At 49.1% G+C, this 27,416-nt stretch overlaps 1 protein-coding gene and 1 long non-coding RNA gene across 7 annotated transcripts in view, besides 1 other annotated feature; both read left to right on the plus strand.

Moving 5' to 3' along the window:
• MROH7-TTC4 (MROH7-TTC4 readthrough (NMD candidate)) overlaps positions 1 to 27,416 on the plus strand; it is a 100,918-nt gene that overhangs the window by 18,471 nt on the left and 55,031 nt on the right. For 2 of the 3 annotated variants that reach the window (NR_037639.2, NR_037641.2), the window contains 12 exon segments: positions 4,957 to 5,030; positions 8,644 to 8,727; positions 10,287 to 10,366; positions 10,590 to 10,719; positions 12,881 to 12,976; positions 13,491 to 13,595; positions 13,790 to 13,941; positions 18,532 to 18,644; positions 19,053 to 19,229; positions 19,681 to 19,835; positions 22,446 to 22,584; positions 26,048 to 26,238. This is a non-coding gene — a long non-coding RNA (MROH7-TTC4 readthrough (NMD candidate)). 3 annotated transcript variants of the gene reach the window in all.
• The window catches only part of MROH7 (maestro heat like repeat family member 7), a 68,481-nt gene that overhangs the window by 18,425 nt on the left and 22,640 nt on the right, over positions 1 to 27,416 (plus strand). Inside the window, exons 4-15 of one of the 4 annotated variants that reach the window (NR_026782.3) lie at positions 4,957 to 5,030; positions 8,644 to 8,727; positions 10,287 to 10,366; positions 10,590 to 10,719; positions 12,881 to 12,976; positions 13,491 to 13,595; positions 13,790 to 13,941; positions 18,532 to 18,644; positions 19,053 to 19,229; positions 19,681 to 19,835; positions 22,446 to 22,584; positions 26,048 to 26,238. Coding sequence is in view for 2 of the 4 variants with exons in the window: in NM_001039464.4 (NP_001034553.3) it covers positions 4,957 to 5,030; positions 8,644 to 8,727; positions 10,287 to 10,366; positions 10,590 to 10,719; positions 12,881 to 12,976; positions 13,491 to 13,595; positions 13,806 to 13,941; positions 18,532 to 18,644; positions 19,053 to 19,229; positions 19,681 to 19,835; positions 22,446 to 22,584; positions 26,048 to 26,238 (1,480 nt within the window). In the remaining 2 variants the exon portion in view is untranslated. The remainder of the gene's footprint in view (positions 1 to 4,956; positions 5,031 to 8,643; positions 8,728 to 10,286; positions 10,367 to 10,589; positions 10,720 to 12,880; positions 12,977 to 13,490; positions 13,596 to 13,789; positions 13,942 to 18,531; positions 18,645 to 19,052; positions 19,230 to 19,680; positions 19,836 to 22,445; positions 22,585 to 26,047; positions 26,239 to 27,416) is intronic. The other 3 variants (NM_001039464.4, NM_001291332.2, NR_111931.2) reach the window with 3 other exon arrangements.
• Positions 19,357 to 20,217: an enhancer, noted in NCBI's record as "H3K27ac-H3K4me1 hESC enhancer chr1:55145240-55146100 (GRCh37/hg19 assembly coordinates)". NCBI's record gives its function as "activates a minimal SCP1, AML or CMV promoter by ChIP-STARR-seq in naive H9 embryonic stem cells {active_cell/tissue: H9 hESC(naive)}" and the evidence as "EXISTENCE:reporter gene assay evidence [ECO:0000049][PMID:30033119]".

Below are 27,416 nucleotides of genomic sequence, written 5' to 3' on the forward strand. Positions count from 1 at the left end.
GGAGAGGGCCCACTTGCTGTATCCCTACATGGTGGTAGGTGGAAGGACAAAAAGGGGCTGAACTCTGTATGAAGCCTCTTTTATAAAGGCCTTAATCCCATTCTAGACGGTGGAGCCCTCATAATTTGACAACCTCCTAAAGTCTCTGCCTCTTAATACTATTGTATTGGAGATTAAGTTCAACATGAATTTTGAAGGGGACACAAATATTCAAACCACAGCAATGACTGAATTAATTTACGCTTCCACAAACAATGTGAGTTTCAATTGTTCCACATTCTCACCAAGGTTTGGTGTTATCAGTTAAAAAAATTGTAGTCAGGCCGGGTGCAGTGGCTCACGCCTGTAATCCCAGCACTTTGGGAGGCTGAGGCAGGCGGATCACCTGAGGTCAGGAGTTCAAGACCAGCCTGACCAACATGGAGAAACCCCAACTCTACTAAAAATACAAAAAATTAGCCAGACATGGTGGCACATGCCTGTAATCCCAGCTACTCAGGAGGCTGAGGCAAGAGAATCACTTGAACCCCGGAGGTGGAGGTTGCGGTGAGCTGAGATTGCACCATTGCACTCCAGCCTGGGCAACAAGAGCAAAACTCCATCTCCAGAAAAAAAAGAAAAAAGAAAAAAAAGAGAAAAATAAAAAATCATAGTCATTCTAGGGGATTTCTGTCTAGTGATAGTTCATTGTGGTTTTAATTTGCATATCTTGATAACTACTGATGTTAAGCATCTTTTTACATGATTATTGTCAATTTGCGTATCCTCTTTTGTGAAGTACCAGTTCAAACGTTTTGTGCTTTTTTTTTTTTTTTAATTTCAGAAGGGAACGGCATGTACATTTTGCTCATTTAAAAAAGTTGGGTTGTCTCTTTTTCTTATTGGTTTGTGGGAATTCTTTATGTAATTCAGATATGAGTTCTTTGTTAGATACATGAATTTTGACTCTTTTCTCCAAGTCTGTGGCTTGGTGAAGCCTTTTATTTATTTTTAAATTAAATTAATTTTAAACTTTTTAAAGAAATGAGATCTTATTCTGTTGCCCAGGCTGGAGTGCAGTGGCACAATCATAGCTCACTGCAGACTCAAACTCCTGGGCTCAAGTGATCCTCCTGCCTCAGCCTCCTGAGTAGCTGGGATTACAGGCATGTGCCACCATGCCTGGCTAATTTTGTATTTTTAGTAGAGATGGGGTTTCTCCGTGTTGATCAGGCTGGTTTCGAACTTCTGACCTCAGGTGATCTGCCCACCTCGGCCTCCCAAAGTGCTGGTATTACAGGCATGAACCACCACGTCAGGCCCTGTTCACTTTTATAATCTGTGCTTAGAACAGTACTGGTCATATAGTAGGTACTTAAAAATATTATTTGTTTGTTTGTTTGTTTGTTTGTTTGTTTATTTTGAGACAGAGTTTTGCTCTTGTTGCCCAGGCTGGAGTGCAGTGGAGCAATCTTGGCTCACTATAACCTCTGCCTCCTGGGTTCAAGTGATTTTCCTGCCTCAGCCTGTTGAGTAGCTGGGATTACAGGCGCCCGCCACCATGCCCAGCTAATTTTTGTATTTTTAGTAGAGACGGAGTTTCGCCACATTGGCTAGGCTGGTCTTGAACTCCTGACCTCAGGTGACCCACCTGCCTTGGTCTCCCAAAGTGCCGGTATTACAGGTGTGAGCCACCGCCCCTGGCCTTAAAAATATTTTTTAAATGATTTTAAAAAACCAACCTAGGGCTGGGCATGGTGGCTCACACCTGTAATACATAGCACTTTGGGAGGCCGAGGCAGGAATATTGCTTGAACCCAGGAGTTTGCAACCAGCCTGGGCAACATGGTGAGACTCCCATCTCTACAAACAATGTAAAAATTAGCCAAATGTGGTAGCGTGGGCCTGTAGTGCCAACTAGTTGGGAGGCTGAGGTGGGAGGATCACTTGAGCCTAGGAGGGCGAGGCTACAGTCAGCCATGATTGCACCACTGCACTCCAGCCTGGATGACAGAGCAAGACCCTATCTGCAAACAAAACAAAACAAAACTTAGAGAAAAGTTGAGCTGGGTGTGGTGGCTCATGCCTGTAATCCCAGCACTTTTGGAGGCCGAGGCGGGCAGATCATTTGAAGCCAGCAGTTCAAGACCAGCCTGGCCAACATGGTGAAACCCTGTCTCTACTGAAAATACAAAAATTAGCCGGGCATGGTGGCACACACCTGTAAACCCAGCTTCTCAGCAGGTTGAGGTGGGAGAACTGCTTGAACCTGGGAGGTGGAGGTTGAAGTGAGCCGAGATTGGCGCCACTGCACTCCAGCCTAAGCAACAGAGTGAGACTCCATTTCAAAGAAAAAAAAAAAAGTTGAAAACGTACTATAAATTTTTTTCCCTGAATCATTTCAGAATAAGTTTCCAAATGATGCCCCATCACCCCTGAATTTCAGAGTGTACTTCTTACAAAAAAGGATAAAATATAACTATCACAATCGAGTAATTAATACTGATACACAGCTACCATATAATCCTCAGGCCCTATTCAAAAGTCACCAATTTTCCCAGTAATGTTCTCTACAGCAAGAGGATCCAGTTCAGAACCACTCATTGTACGTTTTTTCTAGTCTGATCTGTCTCCTGCAGTCCTCAGCCTTTCTTTGACTTTCTTGTCCTTGATACATTTGAAGATGACAGGCAAGCTATTTTTGTAGGATGTGCCTCAGTTTCGATTTGTCTGATGCTTGCTCATGATTAGATTCAGGCCATGCATTTTTGGCAGGAATAGCACAGAAGTGACGCTGGGTTTTTCTCATTGCATCCTGTCTGGTGCCTCATAATTTTGATTTGTTTGTTACTGATGCTGTTTGCTTTCATCACTTGAGTAGGATGGTTGCTGCCAAGGTTTTCCAGTGTGAAGTCAATATTTACCCCTTTGTAGTAAATATCGTGTGGTCAGGTACTTTGAAACTATGTGAATATCCCATTCCTCATCAAACTTTCCATTTATTTATTTATTTATTTATTTGTATAGTATGGACTCAAGGTTTGTTAGTTTATTCAATGGGCTATAATCCGTTTTTTTCACAATTTATTGTGATACTCAACTTTTTCTCAATTTGATCAGTGGACTCCCCTTCAAGCAAACTTTTGTAAAGACCAGCCTGACCAACATGGCGAGAGCCCCGAGCTCTTGTTTCTTTTTTTTGAGATGAAATATTGCTCTGTTGCCTCAGCTGGAATGCAGTGGTGCGATCTTGGCTCACTGAGACCTCTGCCTTCTGGGTTCAAGCGATTCTCCTGCCTCAGCCTCCCTAGTAGCTGTGATTATAGGTGTGCACCACCATTGCCCAGCTAATTTTTGTATTTTTAGTAGAGGTGGGGTTTCACCATGTTGTCCAGGCTGGTCTCAAACTCCTGACCTCAGATGATCCACCCTCTTTGGCCTCCCAAAGTGCTGGGATTACTGGCGTGAGCCACCGTGCCCGGCCCCCATCAGCTCTAAAAAAAAAAAAAAAACAAAAAAAAAACAAGCTTTTGTGTCCCTTTGACATTTGACATGTCTTTATCATTCAGGTGTCTCAGGTTCATCCTGGACTTTCCCTGCTTGAGTCCTGGAATCGACCTTTTCTCCAAGGAGCCTTGTTCCTTTTAGTGGGGAAAGGTATTTAGAAGCTAAGATCTTGGTGTTGGCTGTGTTCACTACAATTGGTGTATCTACTTCTCCATCCTCCAGCGTCCTCTGGTGATCGAGAATCTGAAGTTCCAGGTTTTCATAGGCCCCAGTGACCTTGTCCTCAGAAGGAGAAAGATCCTCTCTCCTTTGGTGTTCCCCTCAACTCCCTTAAATAAAGGACTCTATTGGTCCTGCCCAGTAAGTTTTCATCCCTGGACCAATCGCTGTGGCTGGAGGCATGGGACACTCTTAGGAGTGGAGCTTGGGTCCCAGGCCCACACCTATCTGAAGAGTGGGTGCTGGGTGTGTCTTGAGGAATCCAGCTTCACCTAGCTACATGGAATAGGGTGCACCCAGGAAAGATGAGGCTCTTTCACCAAAAGAAAGTGAAGAGATTGGGGGCTGACAGAACAGCAGATGCCTCTCATAACAAGTAGGTGTTTAGCTATGAATTGTGGTACCTGCTGAAAGAAGAGATTCGGACAATGCACGACAAGACCATAGTGGCCTTTGCAGAGCCCCAGGGTGGGGGTGGCCTTTCTCAGGACTGGCAGGCAAGCCTAGGCCTGAAGGAGAGCCTTAGTGGGGCAAGGAGGTATGGCGAGCAGTGGCCCGGGTAGAGGGAACCACCGTGCAAAGGCCCTGAGGGGAAATGTGCCCAGTTCTGGAAGGAGGCTGGTGTGGCCAAAGCATAGTGAAGCAGGCAAGTGGTGGGAGATAAGGCTGCAGAGGAGGGCAGGGCACAGCCGACCAGGCAGGGCATTGAGGGTCTTGGCAAGGATGCTGGCTTTGTGCTCAATGAAATGCAGTGTCACTGAAGGATTTTAGGGAGGGGGTGACATGAGCTGATGTACACTTAAAAGCTCAGTGTAGGCTGGGTGCAGTGGCTCACACTTGTAATCCTAGCACTTTGGGAGGCTGAGACGAGTGGATCACTGGAGGCAGGAGTTCGAGACTAGCCTGGCCAACATGGTGAAACCCCATCTCTACTAAAAATACAAAAATTAGACGGGTGTGATGGCGGGTGCCTGTAATCCCAGCTACTTGGGAGGCTGAGGCAAGAGAATCACTTGAACCCGGAAGTTGAAGTTTGCAGTGAGCCGAGATAGCGCCATTGCACTTGCACTCTAGCCTGGGCAATAAGAGTGAGACTGTCTCAAAAAAAAGGAAAAGAAAAGAAAGCTCAGTGTGGCTGCTGGGGTGGGGTAAGGATTGGAGGTGCCTAGAGGGGGAGGAGAGAGATGGCATGATGGCATCCTAGGTACATCACAGCTTTATCCACCTTCTCATTGAAATCGTGCCCTGCAGGAGCCTTTGATGAAGTGACCTCATGCCTGGTGAAGGTGCCAGAGAAGACAGAAGGTGGCAACAACATGGCTCTGGTATGCCTCCTGCCCAACCCCTAGCTGACTGTGCTGGGATACTTCCATCCTGCCAACCCCCTACCCCCCAGCCCAGCAGCCTCCGCATTCCCCATGCCTCTGCCCAGCTCTCCTTTTCTCCATAACATTCATTGCCGTCTGATGTGCCATATGCTTTGTTTATTCATCTTCTTTCTTGTTCATCTCCTCCACAAGGACATATCCTCCATTACTCGGGCATTTTTGTCTGTTATTCACAGCTATAACTTCAGCACCTAGAACGGTGCCTGGCACATAATAGATGCTCAATAAAATATTTTTAAACAATTGAATGAATTGTGAGAGGGGCTCTGAAAGGGGCAGAAAGTCTAGAAGTGGCCTTTTTTCAGGACAGTCAGGCCCAACCCAGGTCTGGGCCATGTGGCAGGCTCAGGAGGCCCAAGAAGACCAGTCCAGCAGGTGAGGCACACTTGCATCTGCAGGACTTGGAGATGGCCAGTGGGGAAGACTAGACAAACCGGTGGACGTGAGTGCGACACAGGGAGTGTGGACAAGGCTGCTTGATGGACACAATGTGGAGGAGGTGGGGGATCCATCCAGGCCCAGACATGCAGGAGGCAGGTCCTGCCTGCAGGCTGCTTCAGGGCCAAGCTTCAGTCCCTGGGGCAGTGCAGGGCGGAGATGGGGAGAAGTGACTGGACTAAGAGGAGGCCCTGCATTCAGGGAGCATTTATCCTCATCCCATGGCGTCCTTCTAGTTGTCCACTGTGTTCCTGCCACACTGGCCTTTTTCTGTTTCTCACACACGCCAAACTCATTCCTGCCCCAGGGCCTTTGCACGTGTTTCTTCTGCCAGGAAAGTTCTATAAAATGGGCACAACAAAGCTGAAGTGAGGCCCATGCCAGATGATATGCACAGCACCTACCATGGCGCCTGCAAAAAGAAGACTTCTTATTGATGTCATAGGGGCCAAGGGAAAATGTCCCCTTCATCCTCTGAAGGTCTGCTGAAAAAAATCAACTCACAAAGGCAGATTAATTGGAGAAAATGTACACACATTTATTAATGAGTACACGGAGAGAAGCACAGAGTGATTACCTGCCCCCCAATGAGGGCTCAGAAACTTATATACCATTTTGAGGTTACAGAAAAAATGGGGGCTTGGATCCTGGCAAAACAGGTTATAGGAGGCGGGAGAAGAGGAATTTTTTTTTTTTTTTTTTTTTTTTTTTGAGGCAGGGTCTCGCTCTGTCACTCGGGCTGGAGTGCGGTGGTGCAATCTTGGCTTGCTGCAGCCTTAACTTCCCAGGCTTACGCAATCCTCCCATCTCAGCCTCCTGAGTAGCTGGGATTACAGGCATGAGCCTCTGTGCCCGGCCCTGGGCTATTTTTTTTTTAATTTTTTGCCTAGAGGTGAGGTCTCATTATGTTGCCCAGGCTGGTCTTGAACTCCTGAGCTCAAGCCATCCTCCTGCCTAAGCCTTCCAAAGTGCTGGGATTATAGCAGTGAGCCACCACACCCAGCAAGAGAAGAGGAATTCTGTTGAGGAGCAATAAGGGATTAGTAGCAAGAATTAATGGATCAGGAACAGAGATTATCTTGTGAAAGGGTCTGTTCAGATGTGGTTACATTCTTGGTCTTATAGGGAAGGGAAGGAACAACAGCTGATCTCCTTGGTAGATCTGGATCTTAGGCAAATCAAGGAACTTTGACTTCATCTTGTACTTTGGGAGAGATCAGAAAGACCTGGAAGCTTCTTCAATTCAGTGTGTCCAAACACCATATTGTGGGGTATCAGTTTCTGAGCCCTAACACTGTCATTCAACACATTTAATTGAGCCTCTACTATGTGCCAGGCACTGTTTCAGGCACTGGGAATACAACAATGGTGTGACCTGACATTCTAGTTTGGGGAGACACACAGGCCTTCCCCCTAGTTCTTTGCATAGCTAGCTCTTGTCATTTAGGACTCAGCCCAGGTGTTAACTCCTCTGAGTGGTCTTCTCTGACCATTTGGATTAAATTAGCCATCCCTCTGTCATCACTCTTACAGTTTAAGTTACCTATTGCTATTTAACAAACCACCCCAGAATTTAGTGGTTTAAAAGTTCACTCTGGGATAGGGATGGTGGCTCACACCTGTAATCCCAGTACTTTGGGAGGCTGAGGTGGGAGGATCACTTGAGGCCAGGAGTTTGAGACCAACCTGGGCAACATCGTGAGACCCAGTGTTTACAATTTTTTTTTTTTAAGTTGGAGTTTTAGCTCTTGTTGCCCAGGCTGGAGTGCAATGGTGTGATCTCGGCTCACTGCAACTTTTGCCTCCTGGGTTCAAGTGATTCTCCTGTCTCAGCCTCCCAAGTAGCTGGGATTACAGGCACATGCCACCATGCCCGGCTAATTTTTGTATTTTTAGTACAGACAGGGTTTCATCATATTGGTCAGACTGGTCTTGAACTCCTGACCTCAGGTGATCTGCCCACCTCGGCCTCCCAAGTTGCTGGGATTACAGGCATGAGCCACTATGCCCAGCTACAAAAATTTACAAAGTAAAAAAAAAAAAAATCAGCTGGGCATGGTGGCCCAGTAGTCCTATGTAGTCCATGTAGTCCTAGCTACTCAGAAGGCTGAGACTGAAGGATTGCTTGAGCCCAGGAATTCGAGATTATAGCGAGCTGTGACTGCATCACTGCATTCCAGCCTGGGTGCTGGGGGCATTAGAATTGGAAAGGCCCAATTTCTCATGATTCTGAAGTTTGACTGGGCTTAGCTGGGTGTTTCTTCTGCTCCACAGTATAGACTGAGATCACTCAGTGGGACTGGAATATTCAAGATGACCCTCTCATTTTCCAGGGCCTCTCTTTGCATGGTCTGTAATCATTGTCTTTTAGCCTGGGCTTCCTGGCAGCACAGTGGCTGAGTTCCAGAGGGAAAAAGTGGAAGCTTCCAGTTTCCTTAAGGACTAGTCCAGGAACTGGCCCAGCATCACTTCTACATTATTCTGCTGTTCAAAGCAAGTTGTAAAATGAGCCAAGATTCAAGAGGAATCTGTCCTTTGGATAGGAGGAGCAGAAAAGAACTTGCAGCCATTTTCAATATGCCACACACCTCATCAAATTAACTTGTATTTTCTTCTTTACTATATGAAATTAGTTTTCTTATTTCATGGTCATTGTTTATTTTCCTTCTTCTCCCTTAACATGATGAGAACGGAGAGATTAGTTGGATATTGGTTAATGTGTTCTCTCTCTCAGGTAGCAGAATGCCTCAATCTGACTTGTATGTACTGGGAGACCCATATGAAGTGTTACTAATGGTGCAATTTCAGGTTGAGGGATTGGGGCCCTTTCTGTCCCCTCCTTAGCTGACTGGAGAAGGGGGGAGTACTTTGCAGTCCCTCATATCTGGTCCTCTTCCAAATGCTGGCATTCAGGATTAACTCCTCCAACCCCTCAATATTCTCCAATCTTTACCCCACCCCAAGCTCCCCTTGTGGGGACCTCTCATTTCTCTTGCACCAATGCTGGCTTGCCTGTAGGTGTCGGGTGGTTAACAGTGCTGTATGGGCAACCCCTGAGGACTGGGCTCAGTGGGTCTCTCACTCTGAGGTTTTGCCCTCTGCTGTCCCCTAGGTTGAGAATGTCACCACCCTTCAGAAGAGCCAGGATCTGCTGGAGGCAGAAGGAGAAAAGAAGACCATGATAAAGAAGATTATGGTGGGGGAGCCACAGGCGGGTCTGTGGCATTGGGGTGGGAGGGGGCAGAATTCCTGAGTCCACCCACTGATGAGACCGCAGGGGTGGGAGGTTGAGGTAGGAAGAGGACGGGATGAGGAGGCAGGACATCGGGAATTGAGTCTCAGCTCCACCTCGAACTGCCCTCCACCTACACAGAGGGAGCTCAGGCAAGTTCTGAGCCTCACTCTTCTCATCTCACAGATGGGTGTGATAATACCTGTGCCATTGGCTTGTTGGGAGGACACAACCCAATGCTTAGTCTACAGTAAAGGCTTGTACACCCAGAAGCATTTCTTATTACTTAATACATTCTTTTCCCAGCAATTCCTTCTGGTGGGCAACTTTAGGCAGTTTCCTCATCATTTTGATAAATACAGTCACTCCACCAGAATGGACTGGGCAGGAATAACCACTGAATAACCACTGAAGCTTCCAAAATTATATCTGTGTTTGTGTACTTTACAGAGACAACCAAAAAAGTCCTTGCCCTCCATACCTTCATTTAACTAACATTAATTGAACATCTGCTATGTGTAGGTGCTAGATCAAAAATGAGAAGCAATTAGAAGGACATACTTTATTCTGAGACAGGATCATGCTCTGTCACCCAGGCTGGAGTGCAGTGGCGCCATTATGGCCCACTGCAGCATCAAACTCCTGGGCTCACGGGATCCTCCCGCCTTAGCCTCTCGAGATTTGGGACCACAGGTATGTGCCACCACACCCAACTAATTCTGTATCTTAAAGAAATGGACATTTGGCCAGGTGTGGTGGCTCACGTCTGTAATCCCAGCATTTTGGGAGGCCAAGGCAGGTGGATCCCTTGAGGTCAGGAGTTCGAGACAAGCCTGACCAAAATGGCGAAACCCCATCTCTACTAAAAATATAAAAAAAGCTTAGCCGGACATGGTGGCACGTGTCTGTGGTCCCAGCTACTCAGAAGGCTGAGGCAAGATAATCGCTTGAGCTAGGGAGGCAGAGGTTGCAGTGAGCCGAGATTGTGCCATTACACTCCAATCTGGGTAACAGAGCAAGACTTCATGTCAAAAAAAAAAAAAAAAAAAATAGTTCAAGATGAACCTGGCCAACATCATGAGGTCTCATCTTAAAAAGAAGAAAAAAAAACACAAAAAAACATTTTAAAGGAATGCAACTGGGCAGTTTTCAAGGGCCACACATAGTGGTTTTTGCTTTGGACCAGTTCCATAGTTTGAATATGCCTCTTGGAGGCCAGGCATGGTGGCTCATGTCTTTAATCCCAGCATTTTGGGAGGCCAAGGCAGGAGGATGGCTTGAGCTCAGGAGTTTGAGACCAGCCTGGGCAACATAGCAAGACTCTGCCTCTACAAAAAATAAAAATACTTAGCCAAGTGTGGTGGCATGAGCCTATAGTCCCAGTTACTTGGGAAGCTGAGGCGGGAGGAGCACTTGAGGGTATGCTGGCTGCTGTGACCTGCTCCTTGTGACGGGGGCAGCCTTGGCCCTGGTGGCCTGCAGTAGCCCTGTCCTCATCGGCCCTTCTGTGGCCCCCTGTCCAGAGGCAGATCCAGGAGGAGCCACTGGATTCTCTCTCAAGCTCCGTCCGCAAGCAGGCCATGGAGATCCTGACCCAGCTGAGGTGTCCATGGCCCTCTCCCTGTTCCCACAGCCCCTCTCCTCTCTTCCTCCACTTCTGCCTCCCTCCATCTCTTCGCTGTACCCTCCCCCAACCCGCCCCCACCCCTCGCCCGGTGCCTTTTCCCCTCCCCTTGCCCAGTCCCTGTGCTCCTCAGCTCAGCCCCCGTCTATAGCCATAGGGCCCCTCTCTCACTCCATTTCTTTGCTTTCTGCCTCTTCTCCAGCCACACCCAGCCCACCCTGGGCATGCGGGAGAGGTCGGAGCTGGTGAACGTGTGTGTGCACAGCGTGTTCTCCCTGCCCTCCGTGCAGGCGATGCAGGAGAAGGACGAGGCCAAGGCTGAGACCATCCAGGTGAGGCGGGACCTTCCCAGCAGGGCCTCAGGGCTGGCCCATGTTCTGGGAGGAGATATGGAGCTGCATCCTCCGGCTCATTGGTCTGTGGCCTTGGGCAATTCAACTGACTTCTGTTGGTCTGAGTAGGTACTTGATAAATGGTGAAGGGATGAATCATTCAAATAAAGACACCCAGCTGGGCGCGGTGGCTCACACCTGTAATCCCAGCACTTTGGGAGGCTGAGCCGGGTGGATCACGAGGTCAGGAGACTGAGACCATCCTGGCTAACACGGTGAATCCCCGTCTCTACTGAAAATACAAAAAAAGAAAAAAAAAACTTAGCCGGGCGTGGCAGCGGGCGCCTGTAGGCCCAGCAACTCAGGAGGCTGAGGCATGAGAATGGCTGGAACCCGGGAGGCAGAGCTTGCAGTGAGCCGAGATTGCGCCACTGCACTCCAGCCTGGGCGACAGAGCGAGACTCCGTCTCAAAACAAAATGAAACAAAACACCCATCCTGTCCACTTCTGGGCCCTGCCCTATGGGAGGGATGTGGGCAGATGACGGTATGGCCAGGGGAAGCGGCCAGGATTGGGAGGGGCAGGGCTGAGGCTTAGGCTGTAATGAAGACAGACTGGGGGAACTGGGGATGAGGCCTGGAGAAGCAGAACCTCAGGGGGCTCATGCGAGCATCTTCAAACCTCTCCAGGCATTCCTGGGAGGAGGGGTGGAGGTGACCCTCAGGGTAGGATGAAGGGGAGTGAGGGTCAGTGGGGAAGGTTAAGGCAAAGGGTTTTAGCGCAGGGTGCAGCACATTCATTCATCACTTCATTTAGCAAATAGTAACTCAGTACCTACTCCATGCTGAACTCAGCACAGGAGCCTTACAGGTGAGGTGAGTGTGGGGGAGATGGATGGTATCAAATAAATAAATACGAATAAGTGCAAAATTACACCAATCATAAATGCTGCAAGCCAGAAGTACTTGGTGCTATAAAGAGCCTGCAATGGTGGGGCAGAGGGGAGGGGAAGGCCTAGATGGGGGTCAGGGGTTGTGATTGTGAAACTGAGAGGTTAAAGAAGAGCTAATTAGCTACAGAGGGTGGCAGAAGGAATAGCATTCCAGGCAGAGGATGACAAAGTGGCAGTGTGACTGGAGCCCAGAGGGTGAGGTGAGAGTTCTGGGAAGTGAGGCTGGAATGCCAGCATCCCGGAGGTGGTGCCCTTGGAGAAGACTGGGGTTGTGGGGGTGACTGAAAAAAGGAGGCCGCCCTCTTGTAGTATCAGATTTAGCCAGCAGAGGACAGTGCTGCATAGTAATCTGCAGAGATGGGCAGGAAGGAGGAGGCAGGTGGTGAGCCAGGCTTTCTTGGTGGTTGTGGTATAACCCCAAGGACCACTGGCTTCAGGGTGTGTGCAGACTCAGGGAGTCTAGACAATAACAACCTAGGAGGCACACTTAGGGAGCTGGCAGGACGAGGGGAGGCAAAAAAGAGAGGGTCTTCTCAGAGTAACTCAAACCCACTGCCCAGCCTCGTGTACATGTAATGCTGGTAACCATAAGACAATTCTGGGATGGTGGTGTGGGTAAGGGATGAGAAACCTAGGCAGGAGAGAGATGGCTTCCTTAAGGGGCAACTTGGAAAACGTATTTGGGCCTAGGAGAAGCAATTCAAAAAAGAATCAGAGCATTTCCCCGGAGATGATGAAAGTAAGATTGGCTCTTTCATTGATCCAGCTCTTGCGGTTCCAGAGCATTTTCTCATCCATCCTCTCATTTGCTCCTCATGACTTGAAACTTCTTGTTCTGTGATCTTGGACAAGTGTCCCTGTCCCTTCATTTGTAAAATGAGAAAAACAATTTGTGGACAAGGTGGCAAATCACCAGGTAGCCACCTGGTCCATGGTAGATTCTCAGTATATGCTGGATCTCCGCTTCCCTCCTCTTTAAGGTAGAAAGTGCAGAGATAATAATTAGCAATTGTTGATAAGGAAACTGTAACCCATGAGGGGAAGTAATTTGCCCAACATTACACATCAAGTTAGTCTCAGAGGTGGGACCAGAAAGCAGCTTTCCTGGGTCTTAATTCCCCCTCCTCCCCTGACCTACACCAGGGGCCGCCTGGGGCTGGTGTCCGCTCCAGAGGTGCCTTAGTGGCTTGGTCCTCCTCCCATCCACAGGCTCTTTACCATCAGACCCTGGAGGCCCTGCAGACACTGCTCAAAGCCCTCTTTATCGAGGACCCCACTCCTGCTGGGCTGAAGAGCATCTTGGAGGTGCGGAGATGGGAGGGGCAAGGAAGGGAGGGGAGGAAGGGTGGAGGGAAGAGAGAAATTGGTGCAGGAGCAGTGGAGGCCAGACCTAGGAGTGATTTGGCTTCAGGATGTCATCTTGTGTGAGTGTTCTGCCTCCCTGTCTGTCTCACAGGCCCTGTCCCAGACTCCTGCCTCTCCCCACTCTCTCCCCATCCCCCCACTCTCTAAATGGCTGCCCATGGTTATAGCTGCCACCATCTCTGTGCTCTTCCCATGCTTGTCCCTGCGTCTCTCTTCTGTCTTCATGACTCTTCACTCTTCATCTGTCTCCTCATTGACTTCCTTCTTCCCTATAGTCTGTCAGTCCTATTCTGAACTCTATCTCTGCCTATACCCCAAGAAGAGGAGGAGGGCTGTGGTGACCTTTATACCCTCTCTGGAAGCTTCCTGCTGATGGGTGAAGGCTGGCCTGTCCACCCAGCAGCAGGGGCTGTCATCTAACCTGTAGTTCTGAGTCTTGCTTTTGATCCCACAGGCCCTGGGGCCTTGGATGAACTCTGGGAAGGCCCATGAGCGAGCACGGGCTGTGAACACCAATGTCTCTGTGTTGAACCACATGCTTCTAACTCTGCCTTTCTTTGTGAGTGGCCCCTGGGAGGGGTGGACACTCTTAGGGAAAATCTTCCCACTTCTGAAGGAGCCCGTACCTCTGTTCAGGGATTCCCAGGTGGCTCTTGCCATCTTCAGAGGGCTGTGCTATCTGGGCCAGACTATCCACCGGTGTTCACCATTTAATGTATAGCATTATTGAACCTATAACACTCAATCCCTAAGATTGCAATACAAACAGATGCCCTTGGGGTTCCCGGCGCTGGGGCTTCTGCTGGGGAGACTCATCCTTCACATTGGGGATCCTGATGAGGAGATTGGCTGTGAGGCTCTGGACGGCATCATCATCCTCTACACTATTCTGGAGCTCCAAAAACGTAAGCCCTATCGGAGTACTTCTGAAGGAAGTCTTCTGAGTTGTTGCTCAGTCTGGATTCAATAAAGAATCAGCTGGAGCCTTGGCATTAAGGCACTGGTGGGAGATGGGGGAAACCAGCACAGGGCCAGATGGGGACTGTGGAAACTGGTGTGAAGCCCAAGACCCCAGAGAACCAGGGGACAAAGGCTACAAACAAAACTATTTTGATTTAAGCAATCTTGCTTTTTCTCATCCTTCCAAGCTTAGTTTGTGACTGTCATTTTCATAGTCCCTTAATACTATGTATACCTAAGGATAATTCCCCTAATACCTTGTTTTCCTGTCTGTTTTCCCCACTAGAGACTATAATCCTATGAGGGAAGGGCAGGGCTGTATCTTGGTCACCCCTGTATTCCCAAGGGCCATCTCTGGGCTTGGCACATGGTGGGTGCTCAGTGAATATCTATTGAATGAATGAATAAAGAACAGCTTCTGTCTTAGAATCCAGAGCAGCTAAAGCTTGTAGTTGGGAGAACTTTCCTTGATTCAGCTTCAGGGAGCACTTCGTGATGTGGTATGGGCTGACACAGGTATCCAGAAGGCATTGTACCTAGAGGTGCACAGTATCAGCTGTCACTTGCCTCCTTCCTTTCTCCATCATCCTAGCTCTGCCCTAAACCAGGGCACCTTGGCATGTGGTTTAAACTCTCCTGGCTCTGGGGGTAGAATGACCTTTGCATAAGAGCTGCTCCTATCGCTGCTTAGTGGTGTGACCTCAGGTAATCACTTTGTGTAGGCCTAGATTTCCTCATCTGTGAAAATGGTATACTCAGATATAATTCATAATTCATGCTTTTTTTTTTGACAGAGTCTGGCTTTGTTGCCCAGGCTGGAGTGCAGTGGCACAATCTTGGCTCACTGCAATCTCTGCCACCTGGGTTCAAATGATTCTCCTGCCTCAGCCTCCCCAGTAGCTGGGATTACAGGCACACATCACCACACCTAGCTAATTTTCATATTTTTAGTAGAGACGGGATTTCACCATGTTGGCCAGGCTGGTCTCAAACTCCTGACCTCGAGTGACCCATCTGCCTCAGCCTCTTAAAGTGCTGGGATTATAGGCAGGAGCCACCATGCCTAGCCTAAATTCATGCTTTTTGAAAGATTAAGTGAGATATTTTGTAAGAGCATATGTAAAGGTACTAGCTCAGTGCCACACATTATAGGCACTTGTCATGTAGTTCACTTTTTCCTATCCCTTCAAGCTTTTGGGATTTATCTGGTATCCTCACTCTTCTTGATCTCTAGCATTTGGGACAAAGATCTGGTCCCTGGGAGATTTACCCTGTTGACCAGGAGCCACTCACATCTCTGGAGGATGGATGAAGGTGGTATAAGCCATGTTAATAACCAGCTTTAGGGGTAGGAGTAGGAGCCTCTGTGAGCCTATTCTGGCTCGGGACGCTGCCTTTTTTTTTTTTTTGAGACAGAGTCTTGCTCTGTTGCCCAGGCTAGAGTGCGGTGGCACGATCTCGGCTCACTGCAGCCTCAATCTTTCAGGCTCAAGCAATCCTCCCACCTCAGCCTCCTGAGTAAGTGGGACTACAGGAGCATGCTACCATGCCTGGCTAAATTTTTTTTGTATTTTTGGTAGAGATGGGGTTTCACCATCTCTACCAAAAATACAAAAAAAATACTGGGGTTTCAAGACCAGGCTGGTCTCGAACTTCTGGGCTCAAGTGATCCGCTCGCCTTGACCTCCCAAAGTGCTGGGATTACAGGCGTGCACCACCGCACCCCGCCGAGGCAGCTCATTTAAAAAAGAAAGAAAGAAAGAAAGGAAAATGAGTAGAAATTATAGACCCAATTAGGGTTGCCAGATTTAGCAAATAAAAAATACAGGATACCCAGTAAAATTTGAATTTCAGGTAAACAATGGGTAATTTTTAGTATATTTGAGATGTACTTTCACTAAAAATGATTTGTTTATCTGAAATTCAAATTTAACTGGTTATCCTGTATGTTATTTGGCAACCCTAGGCCAAACTTATACTCTTAGATTTTATTTATTTTTTTCTTTTTTTAGCAGGCAAGAACCATACTCTTAGATTTATTTATTTTTTGAGATAGAGTCTTGCTCTGTCATCCAGGCTGGAGTGCAGTGGCTCAATCATGGCTCATTGCAGCCTCAACCTCCCGGGCTCAGGTGATCCTCCCACCTCAGCCTCCAGAGTAGCTGGGACTACAGGCACGTGCCACCATGCCCAGCTTATTTATTTATTACTATTATTTTTTGAGATGGAGTGTAGCTCTGTTGCCCAGGCTGGATTGCAGTGGCACGATCTTGGCTCATTGCAACCTCCGCCTCCCAGGTTCAAGCGATTCTCCTGCCTCAGCCTCCCGAGTAGCTGGGACTACAGGTGGCTAATTTTTGTGTTTTTTAATAGAGTCAGAGTTTTGCCATTTTGGCTAGGCTGGTCTCGGACTCCTGATCTCAAGTGATCTGACTGCCTTGGCCTCCCAAAGTGCTGGGATTACAGGTGTGAGCCACTGTGCCTGGCCCAGCTTATTTAATTTTTCTTTTCTTTTTTTTTTTTCTGGAGTCTTGCTTTGTCGCCCAGGCTGGAGTGCAGTGGTGCGATCTCAGCTCACTGCAAACTCCACCTCCCGGGTTCAAGAGATTCTCCTGCCTTAGCCTCCTGAGTAGCTGGGATTACAGGCATGCACTACCGTGCCTGGCTAATTTTTATATTTTTAATACAGATGGGGTTTCACCATGTTGGTCAGGCTGGTCTCGAACTCCTGACTTCATGATCCGTCCCCCTCGACCTCCCAAAGTGTTAGGATTACAGGCATGAGCCACTGTGCCCAGCCGCTAATTTATTTTTTGTACAGACAGAGTTTCTCCATGTTGCCCAGGCTGATCTGGAACTCCTGGGCGCAAGTGAACCATCTGCCTCGGCCTCCAAAGTGCTGGGATTACAGGCCGGGTGCGGTGGCTCACGCCTGTAATTCCAGCACTTTGGGAGGCCAAGGCAGGTGGATCAGCTGAGGTCCGGAGTTCAAGACCAGCCTGGCCAACAAGGTGACACCCTGTCTCTACTAAAAATACAAAAATAAGCCACGTGTGGTGGCGCATGCCTATAGTCCCCACTACTTGAGAGGCTGAGGCAGGAGAATCACTTGAACCCAGGAGGCGGAGGTTGCAGTGAGCCAAGATCACACCACTGCACTCCAGCCTGGGCGACAGAGTGAGGCTGTGTCTCAAAACAAACAAACAAAACAAAACAAAACAAACAAAACAAAAACAAACAAAAAACCCGAAGTGTGGGGACTACAGGCGTGAGCCACTGCCCACGGCCACTCTCAAGATTTAATCTCAATGAGTGAAGTGGTCTGTCCAGGCCCCCTGACTGTAGGAAGCAGCACAGCTAGGATTTGAACCTGAGTTGGCCTGACTGCAGGTATCCAGCTCCTCTCCTTTACAAACAGCACACACACTTGGTCTATGTGAACACTCTGCCTTGGTGGCCCTTTCTTGTGCCCACGTCCTGTATTCCTTGAGGAGATCCAGGTAGGACCCAAGGTGGGCTGAAATAAGGGCTCAGGAAGTGCGCCTGAAATGTGCTCCCTTCAGCTGAAAATATGAAGCCACTATGTGCCGGGTACTATTCTAGGATATGGGGACACAGGAGTGGGGAAAAGAGATTAAATAATCCTCCTTTGGTGAGAGTACCTTCTCGTTGTCGGGAGATAAGATAGTAAACAAAATAAACAAGTAACACATATAGCAAGTCAGATGATGACAAAAACTAAAGAAAAGTAGAAAAGGATTGGTACCACCAGGGGTAGGGGATTGCAGTTTAAAAGAGGTATTGCCACACATCCACCAGAATGGCATAAATGAAACAGACAGACAATGACATGTGCTGGCAAGATGTGGAGCAATGGGAACTCTCGTGCACTGCTGGTGGGGTTACCGTTGATTTCCCATCATAGAAAACTGTTTGGCAATATCTTCTGTAGCCGAACCTATGCTTAGACTATGACCCAGCAATCCATTCCTAGGTATACAACTAACAACTGTGTAGATATACTCATCAAAAGACACACTAGAATGTTCTTAGCAGCACGATGCTTAGTAGCTGGCAATAACCCAAATGTCCATCAAAAATAGAACTGATAACTAATCATAGTCTTTCATACTGTGGGAAATTATACAGCACTGAGAATGAATGAAAGAACTAATGCTGATGCAACTGTGTGGATGAATCTCAACCATATAATGTTGAGCAGAAGAAGACAGACATCAAGGATAACGTGTCCATTTATCTAAAGTTCAAAAGCAAAGACATCTCTCTAAGGGTTGAGAAATTAGAATAGTATTTAGCCAGGGTCAGGGAGAGGGCTATTGATGGAAAGGGGTGCACAAGAGGGGCTTCTGGGGTGCTGATCACGTTCTGCTTCTTGACTTGGGGGCTGGCTACAATGGTGTGTTCACTATGTGAAAATGTATCAAGTTAGTTCCTTATGATGTAGGGACTTCCTACATGTATGTTTAACAAAAATAGGGAGATCCGGCCTCACTGAGAAGGTTCTCATCTTGCAGGAGCCAGAGATAAGGAAGAGACCAACAAAAAGGAGCTATATGAGAGCAACAAGCATTTCCTGGGGCCCTACAACCCTGTGAGCCCGTGCCAGAACATTCTGCGGGTGATCGAGGTGACTGCCTGGTGCCCATCCAGGAGCGGAGGGTGGGGGGTGAGGAGGGGCAGTGCCACCTGGCCCCAAAGCTTTCTTCCCTTCTAGCTTTCCAGGCTTTGCAGGACGCCTTCCCAGCCACCCACGCCTGTCCTGAGTGCCCTCCTCCTCCAGTCTGTGCCACAGTGCATGGACTTCCTTCTCCCTTACGCATGTCACCCTGTGCTGAGTGCAGGGACATGTTGCTCTTACTTTTGTAGCTCCTCCCCTAAAGGTTCAACACTTATGTGTTAACTGAATATTCCTGGCCCTCCCTGCTGACCTCTGCATGTGGGCGTCAGGCAGTGTTTGTGCCTCTGTGCACAAAGCTCGAAGCTCAAAGCTCGGGCTACCCATCAGTGTGTCATGATCTCAGCACCTTTGTTTCAGGAATTTGGAGACTTCCTGGGGCCCCAGCAGATAAAGGACCTGCTGCTGGCCGCCCTGGAAGGGCTGAAAGGCAGCTCAGAGGCTCCAGGGAAGGACTCCAGGGAGATGATGCAGCTGGCCTCGGAGGTCATGCTCAGCTCGGTGCTGGAGTGGTACCGCCACAGGGCGCTGGAGGTGGTAAGGCCTCCTGGGGGCAGGGAGTGAACTGTCACTGGGGCTCGGGAGCTCCCCCCATGGCCTGCTCATCACTGGCCGGCCAGACAGTGGGCAGGGTGGGGTATACCTGAACCCCCTAAGCCATGGGGCAGGGAAGGGGTGCTGGTGGCTGAGTTCTAGGTGCTCCCACCTTGAAGGTTTTCTCTTACCACCCCTGAAGGAGCTCAACTGACTTGGTGGTGGGTAGAGGTGGGTTTGGCGGTGGAAGCAGGTATAGGGAGCATAGTAAAGAGAAACTGGCTCACTCCCAGGGAGGGGCAGGCGCTCTGCTTGCCTCTTCCTCTCTCTCTCCTTTGGGCCTTCTCCCCTGTCCTCTAGCCTGTCACCCCCTTCCCTCTCCTCCCACCTTCCTGCTGCCCCCGTGCTTCCCTTGGCAGTCCCCTTGCTCATGGCTGCCCCGGCTGTGCCCCAGATCCCAGAAATCATGCAAGGCATCTACATGCAGCTGAGCCACATCCAGGAGCCTCGGGCCCGCCAGGTGGCCCTGCTGCCCGTCTCCCTCCTGGCTAGCTCCTTCATGACCGAGGTTGTGGTGGCCCTGCTCATGTGCCCCCTCCCACTGAACAGGTACCAAGTGAAGGGGTTCCCAGCCACTGCATCTTACAGGGTTCAAGCAGCCCCCACCCCAGGTTGGGGACCCCCTTCTGCCCAGATAAGCCCCTCGCCCTCCCAGATGGCCCCCCTTCTGTGATCTGGGGTGTTTATGACAACCATTAAGCACTTCCTGAGCACTGCTGCTGTCAGCGCCGAGCATTACAATAGTCTCTAATTCTCACAACAATCCCATTCTGCAGATGAGGAAACCAAGGCTTAGGGAAGTTTCTTGCCTTAGGTACTCACTGAGCAAGCAATAGAACGGAGGACCTAAACTCAGGTCTAACTAACTACCAGCCCAGAGCTCTTTAACAATGCCATTGAAAGGAGGTCTGCGTGTCCGTCCTGACTCTGCCTCCAGCTGCTGTGTGGGTCTTGGGTAGCCCATTTGTCCTCTCTTTCCCCCTTAGGCAAAAGAAGGAAATGATCCCTGCAATCCCACCCCAGGTGGGTGGTCATGACAGTAATGCAGCCAGCGGTGCTGAGTGCCTGCTCAGGCCTGGGCCCGTGCGGAAGGGTGCTCCAAGCTCACTGTCTTCAGGGAGCTCGTGATCTGATGGGCAGAGGGGACTGTGGTCAGATGGTGAGCTCGTGGGCAGGAGAGGTCAGTCTGGCCTCAGCCTCCCACCCAGGAAATGCTCCCATGCTTTCTTTGAATGAGTAAAACAAGGCAGTGAGTGATCCACACCTTCGGGTGGTTGTTTGAGAGCCAAAGAACTGTGCAGAGCTGTGCAAATGGGGTGTGCTCCAATAAGGGCAGTTGATGTCATTCATAGGAACCAAGAAGATCAGTCAGGATGGTGAGGGCCCAGCTGGCACATCCCAGTCTCCCACTTGGAAGAATTAAACCCTTTCTGGCTGTACTCCCCACCAGGGTTTTTTTTTTCTTGGGTCCACTAAACAGTCAGACTCATAAGACTACTGGGGGCCTCATCTGACATCCGTCACACAGGATACAGGACAGGGCAGTGTCAGGAGCTCCTCCTTGCGGGGGTCCTTGCAGCAGCCCCCACAGCAGGCCAGGCAGAGGCACCCAGGGCATAACATTTAAGGACATAGTCTCGGGTGCCAAGTCTGCACTTGTGTGAGCCTGAGAATGAGGGCTTCCTTCAAGTTGGCACCCTGGATGCCTCACTTTCCTTATCCTAGTCTTGGCCCTGAGTCTAGGAGCTGGTCTCTTGGGCCTCTCAGGTGAAAGTTCAGGTGTGACGAAAGGAGACCTATAGGGTGGATATAGGAGCTGCCCTGGCTTAAATGGCACAGGCCTCACAGAGACCAGTATCTTTTACATCTTGGCTTTGCTTCCAGGGTCCCCACAGGGACAAACCAAGTTACAAGGGTCACTGCATCCTGGGAAGCTCAATGCTATAGTGTCCCCATCAGTTCTTATAGTTAATTTATAGTTCCTCCCTGTCCAGATGCAATTTACCAGTGGAGTCATTATTACCATAAGTAATGTTGCCTAGCAACATAGTTGACATACTGTATCAGGTTGCCAGGGGAACAGAGCTAGAAAGTGAATGGAGGGTTGAAACCCTCTTGTAGAAGGGGAAAGGTTTTTGTTAACCCTTTAGTACACTGGCCTGCCAGTGCTTTCAACACCCTATGATAGGAGTTTGGTTGGGTGCAGATGCTTTTCCTTGCCTGGTGTACTGCCTTTTAAGGGATGGGAACAGAGGCTCCCTGATATTATGTGACAAGTGCAGGATCCTAGCCCCAGGCTGCTCAACTGCCTCCACTCTTGCTCCTTGGTTAGAGGAATGAGCACAGGCTTTGAAGACATCAGGCCTGGCCATATCTGGACTCTGCAGCTCATTAGCTGTGTAATCTTGGACTGGTAATTTCACCTCTCTGAGCCTCAATTCCTCATTTGTAAAATGGGAATAACAACACTCACCTTAGGGTTATTGTGAGAATTCAGTGATCTTGAGTGTCTTGAATCCTTGTTCATGTCTGTATTCCCCAAGATTTGCGTAGGGCCTGGTGTACAGTAAATGCTCAGCTAATATCTGCCGAAGTAATACATTGCATGTAAAACGTAAAACATTTGGCATGATACCTGGGAAATAGGGTTTCTTTCTTTCTTTCTTTTTTTTTTTTTTTTTGAAGATGGAGTTTCGCTCTTTTCTCCCAGGCTGGAGTGCACTGCTGGCGTGATCTTGGTTCACTGCAACCTCTGCCTCCCGGGTTCAAGCGATTCTCCTGCCTCAGCCTCCTGAGTAGCTGTGATTACAGGCATGCACCACCATGCCCAGCTAATTTTTTTTGTATTATTAGTAGAGACGGGGTTTCACCATATTGGCCAGGCTGGTCTCAAACTCCTGACCTTAGGTGATCCACCCACTTTGGCCTCCCAAAGTGCTGGGATTACAGGTGTGAGCCACCATGCCCACCAAGGAAATAGGGTTTCTTGTCCTTCTAGCCCCTGACTCTTTGGGAGTGTTTTCTGGACTATTCCTTGCAGGTGTGCCCATGGATGCCATTTCATTGGCATCTTACCTTCCCCCTCCCAAAACCATTTGGAGGCTGGGTTAGCCCCACTGCCTTGGCCACCACTAATTGCCCACATCCCTGACCTCTCAGCAATGGAGCAGAGATGTGGAGGCAGCTGATACTGTGTAAGCCCAGCTGTGATGTCCGAGACCTCCTGGATCTGCTCCTGGGCAGCCTGAAGGAGAAGCCCGTCACCAAGGAGGGCCGGGCTTCCATCGTGCCCCTGGCGGTGAGCACCCAGTCAGCCAGCCCCTATTGCTGCCTGTCCTGCCCTTCCTCTCTCCTTCCCTCCTGCTGAGCTAAGCACACCCGGCCTCGAGTACCGCACTCTGCCAGTAACTAGTTGTGTGGTCTTGGGCAGGTCTCTGGCTCTGGCTCTTGTCTGTGGTTCACTGGACAATAACAGTAGTGTTGTCTATGGTGACAACAGCAGCCTGGGATATGGGAAAAAGAGTGACTTGGAGTCACAGACAGTCTAAATCCTGGTTCTGGCCAGGCATGGTGGCACATGCCTGTAATCCCAGCACTTTGGGAGGCGGAGGCAGAGGATCACTTGAGGCTAGGAGTTTGAGGCCAGCCTGGGCACTATAGCAAGACCTCTTCTCTATTTTTTTAAAAAAATCCTACATTACCATTTTGTGGCCTAGGTAAGTCACTTCCACCTCTATGAGGCTCAGTTTCTACATATGTGAATAGAAATAATATCTTTCTCATATGGCGGCTGTGAAGATTATATGAGATAACACATTCATTCATTTAGGTGACACAAAACACTTCTTGCTGCCACACTCCAAGCTTGACCCTGGGAACACAGAGCGAAAGGCAGCTCTGACTCAGGAAGCTGGCTGGGCTGAAGAGACGGATTTGTCTCTGTCTCTATCACCACCCTGGTCCATGCCAGTTGGTCCATACCCCTGGTCCATACCCCTGCCTACCTTCCTGATTCTGCTCCTGCCCCTCCAATCTGTACTGCAGCCAAAAAGTCTTTGAGAAATGCACATCTCCTCTTCTCAGCACCCTTGATGGTTTTGCATTGCCCCTGAGAGTGACACAGTGCTCCTACCTGTGGCGAAGGCCCTGCATCCCTGGCCGGCTTCCCCACGCTCCATGGTCCTCCTGCTTGCTTTGCTCCAGCCTCACGGGTCTTTGTCAGAACTTCATCCAGCCACGCTATCTTGTCACAGGGCCTTTGCACATGCTGTTTCCTCTACCTAGAATGCTCTCCACCGAGCTAACTTCTACTCATCCTTCAGCTGTCAACTCCAGCATCACTTCCTTAGGGAAGCCCTCCCTGATCTCCCTGACCTGGTCAAATCTGTACGTAGTATATTTTGCGTCACATACTTTGTATGAAAAGAGTTTACACCAGTTGTCATTTGACAACACCACAGGGGATCCTTTGGTTAATCTGTGAGACACATGAAGACATTGCTGTCCTGCTGTGCTCACCATGATATCCCCAACATCTTGCATACACCTGGCGCATAGTAAGCACTCAGAAATGTTTTTGTTGGGCTGATTTATTTTTTCAATAAGTGTTTAGTGAGCACCTCCTATACTATGTGCCAAGCACACTTATAGGTTCTGGGGATTCAGAAGCGAGACATTCTGGTGAAGGGAAGTAAATAAAGGTACAGTAGATGAAGGAGAGGGTAGTATTATCCCATTACAGAGGAGGATGCTCCTGCTTAGAGACATTCCATGTCTCCCCCCAGGTCACCTAGCTAGCAATGGTGGTGCTAGGACTCAAACCCAGCAGATCTTCCGCTTCCAAATCCTGCGCTTCACTCCCATATATCTCTCTGCCTTTGTCCTCCAGCACTGAGTTCTGTGCCTAAGGCACCAGCACTCCTTCCCTTGCAATTTGGGCATTCATCCTCTTCTACAATTGGTGTATGTTAGTGTATTCTTTAGTCACTCATTTGTGCTTCTTGTCCAGCAAGCATAGTTTAAGCATGGATACAGCCTGAACTCATTCTTATCTTATGGCACTGATAAATCGTTTGAGCAAGATAGAGCCGAAAGCAAAGCCCTGTGGCACATCACTAGAGACTTTTCCCTTACACCACAGACTGTGTTCTTTGGATGTAATCATTAGCTTTGGGCTGCTGGAAAAGTACAAGGGCTTTGAGTCCAAGAGACTTGTCTTAGCTCTGCCACTGCCTCACTATATAACCGTGGTCAATCACTTCCCCTCTCTAGCCTTGGTGCTTATATCTGTAAAATGGGCTATGATAACTCCTGCATTGTCTATCTTACCTGTTGAGAAAGGGGAGATAGTGTATGTGGAAGAACTTCTTAAGCTGTAAAGTGCAAATTAACTGCCATTTATTGTTCTCATTCAGCCCATGTTAGGTCACTTTTCTCCAAGGGAACATGTCAGGGGTTCTTTCACTTTGCAATTAAATGCTTTCCTCTTGGCCCAGATGCATGGAGTCTTTTTTTTTCTCTCCTTTTTTTTTTTGAGACTGAGTCTTGCTCTATCACCCAGGTTGTTGGAGTGCAGTGGCATGATCTTGGTTCACCACAACCCCTCCACCTCCCGGGTTGCAGTGATTCTCATGCCTCAGCTTCCCGAGCAGCTGGGACTACAGGCACCCGCCACCACACCTGGCTAATTTTTGTATTTTTAGTAGAGACGGGGTTTCCCCATGTTGGCCAGGCTGGTCTCAAACTCCTGCCTGACCTCAAGTGATCTGCCCACCTTGGCCTCCCAAAGTGCTGGGATTACAGGCATGAGCCACTGTGCCTGGCCTGCATGGAGTCCTAATGGCACAGCTCAAACCATTTATGTATAAAGCATGCTTACCTTCGCCCTCTCATTTAGGCTCTAACACTCCTGTGGGGCTGGCCGGATGATGATCAGTGACTCCACTTTTCAGAGATCTGAGGCCCAGAGGCGCCAGGGAGTGGTAGAGCCAGAATGAGCCATGAGTCTTGTGACACCAGCCCATCACCCACTCCCCACCCCCTAGTATTGCCCTTCTGCCAGTTAGAGAGGACTTGGTGGGCCAAGTATGAGGGTGGGCCCAGGCCAGGTCCAGAGCTGGATTGGCAGGTGGAGAAGTTGCCCCAGGTCACCAGCCCTTGGGGGCAGAGCTGGCACTTGAGCCATGCTCTTGCTCAAGGCTGGTGTTGTTTCTCTTGGCTGCTGGCCTCATGGGGATGGGAGTGAGGACAGCCTAGTTTAATGGCCCAGGGTGAAGAGGCCAGCCTGGTGCCCCTTACATTCTGTGTGCCTGTGTTGTGAATGAGGAAGAGGCACAGCACGCTATAGTTGGTATCAGAAAACCTGGGTTCAAGTTCCAGCTCTGCCCCCAAGGGGCTGGTGACCTTGAGCTAGCAGCTTCACCCCTCTGAGTCCGCCTCCTCATCTGCAAAATGAGATCAAGACTCTTTACCTCTCAAGAGGTAGAAGGGATTCTTCCACCATGATTCTTCCAAGGTTGCATAAACATCAAAGCCCTGGACCAAAACTAAGGGGTGGATTGTTGTCCTTGCTCTGGGACAGGGCCTCTGGCCAGAGAGCCAGAGGTTTGGGGCTGGGGGGTGGGGAATCCCAGCTTCCCCAGGCTGGGCCAGAGGACAGCAAAGACCCAGATCCTACCTCCCAGAGAGGCAGTCCAGGCCCCAGCCAGGAGTGCTGGGAAGATGGGCCACGACATCCCAGCAGCCTCCCCTCTGCCCCATAGGCAGCCAGCGGCCTGTGCGAGCTCCTGTCCGTCAACAGCTGCATGGGCCGTGTGAGGCGCATCTACCCTCAGCTGCTCCTGGCCCTGCTCATTCAGGTCCATTACCACATCGGCCTCAACCTGCCTGGCTGCGTGGCTCCTCCCAAGGACACCAAGAAGGGTGCACAGCCCTCTCCCTTCGTACCTGTGCGGTATGCTCTGCCCTCTCTCTTGACCCTGCTGTCCCCGGTGGTGGGAAGGGCCATCCAGTCAGAGCCTCCAAAAGTCTCAGGGGCAATCAATCAATAGAAATCAGCTTTGGGACTAGAAGAGAAAACAGAAGCACAATTTTATTAGAGCCAATAATTCATTCAACAACTGTTTTTGAGCACCTGCTCTGTGCATTACACACTGTGTTTAGTCTAGATCACAGGAAAGAATCAGCCCTCCCCAAGGAGTTCACTCTTTACTTTTTCTTCTTTCCTCCCTAGAGGTATTATTTGTATTAAGTTTGTATCCAAGGCCCAAATACTTTATTTTTAATTATTAATTGGAGTAGATAATATAGGCACATGGGTAAAATACTCAAAAGACATTAAAAGGAAGCTTCCTTCCCTGTCCTTACCCCAGTTATGTTCCCAAAGACAACCAAGTTCTTCATGCCCTCCCAGAGGAGGATTATGCAGGGATAAACACATTTACTTATATTCTGTATTTTTACACCAATGACAGCACCTCACACTGCTACACATTTTTTGCCTTCATTACATACTATATCTTAGAGACCATTGTATTGTAGAGCTGTCTCCTTATTTATTTATTTATTTATTTATTTATTTATTTATTTATTTATTTGAGATGGAGTCTCGCTCTGTCGCCCAGGCTGGAGTGCAGTGGCGCAATCTCAGCTCACTGCAACCTCCGTCTCCTGGGTTCAAACAATTCTCCTACCTCAGCCTCCCGAGTAGCTGGGATTACCAGCATCTGCCACCATGCCCAGCTAATTGTTTGCATTTTTAGTAGAGATGGGGTTTCACCACGTTGGCCAGGCTGGTCTTGAACTCCTGACCTCAGGCGATCCACCCGCCTCAGCCTCCCAAAGTGTTGGGATTATAGGCGTGAGCCACTGCACCCGGCTGAGCTGTCTCTTTATTTTTAACAGCTGCATAGTATCTCTATGTATAGGATCCCAGTGCACCATAATTGATTTAACCAGGCTTCTCTGGATTTCGGGGCTTTCCAGCCATTGGCAGTTACAAGGCTGCAGTGAGTTTGCTTGTTTATATGTCTTTATGTGTACATGTGATTTTATATGTAGGACAATTCCTGAAAGTAGAATGGGCACATCAAAGGGCTTCTGCATTACATGTTAAGGTGATAGAAAAAGCTC

Source organism: Homo sapiens, chromosome 1 (genome assembly GCF_000001405.40).
Source record: "Homo sapiens chromosome 1, GRCh38.p14 Primary Assembly".
NCBI lineage: Eukaryota > Metazoa > Chordata > Mammalia > Primates > Hominidae > Homo > Homo sapiens.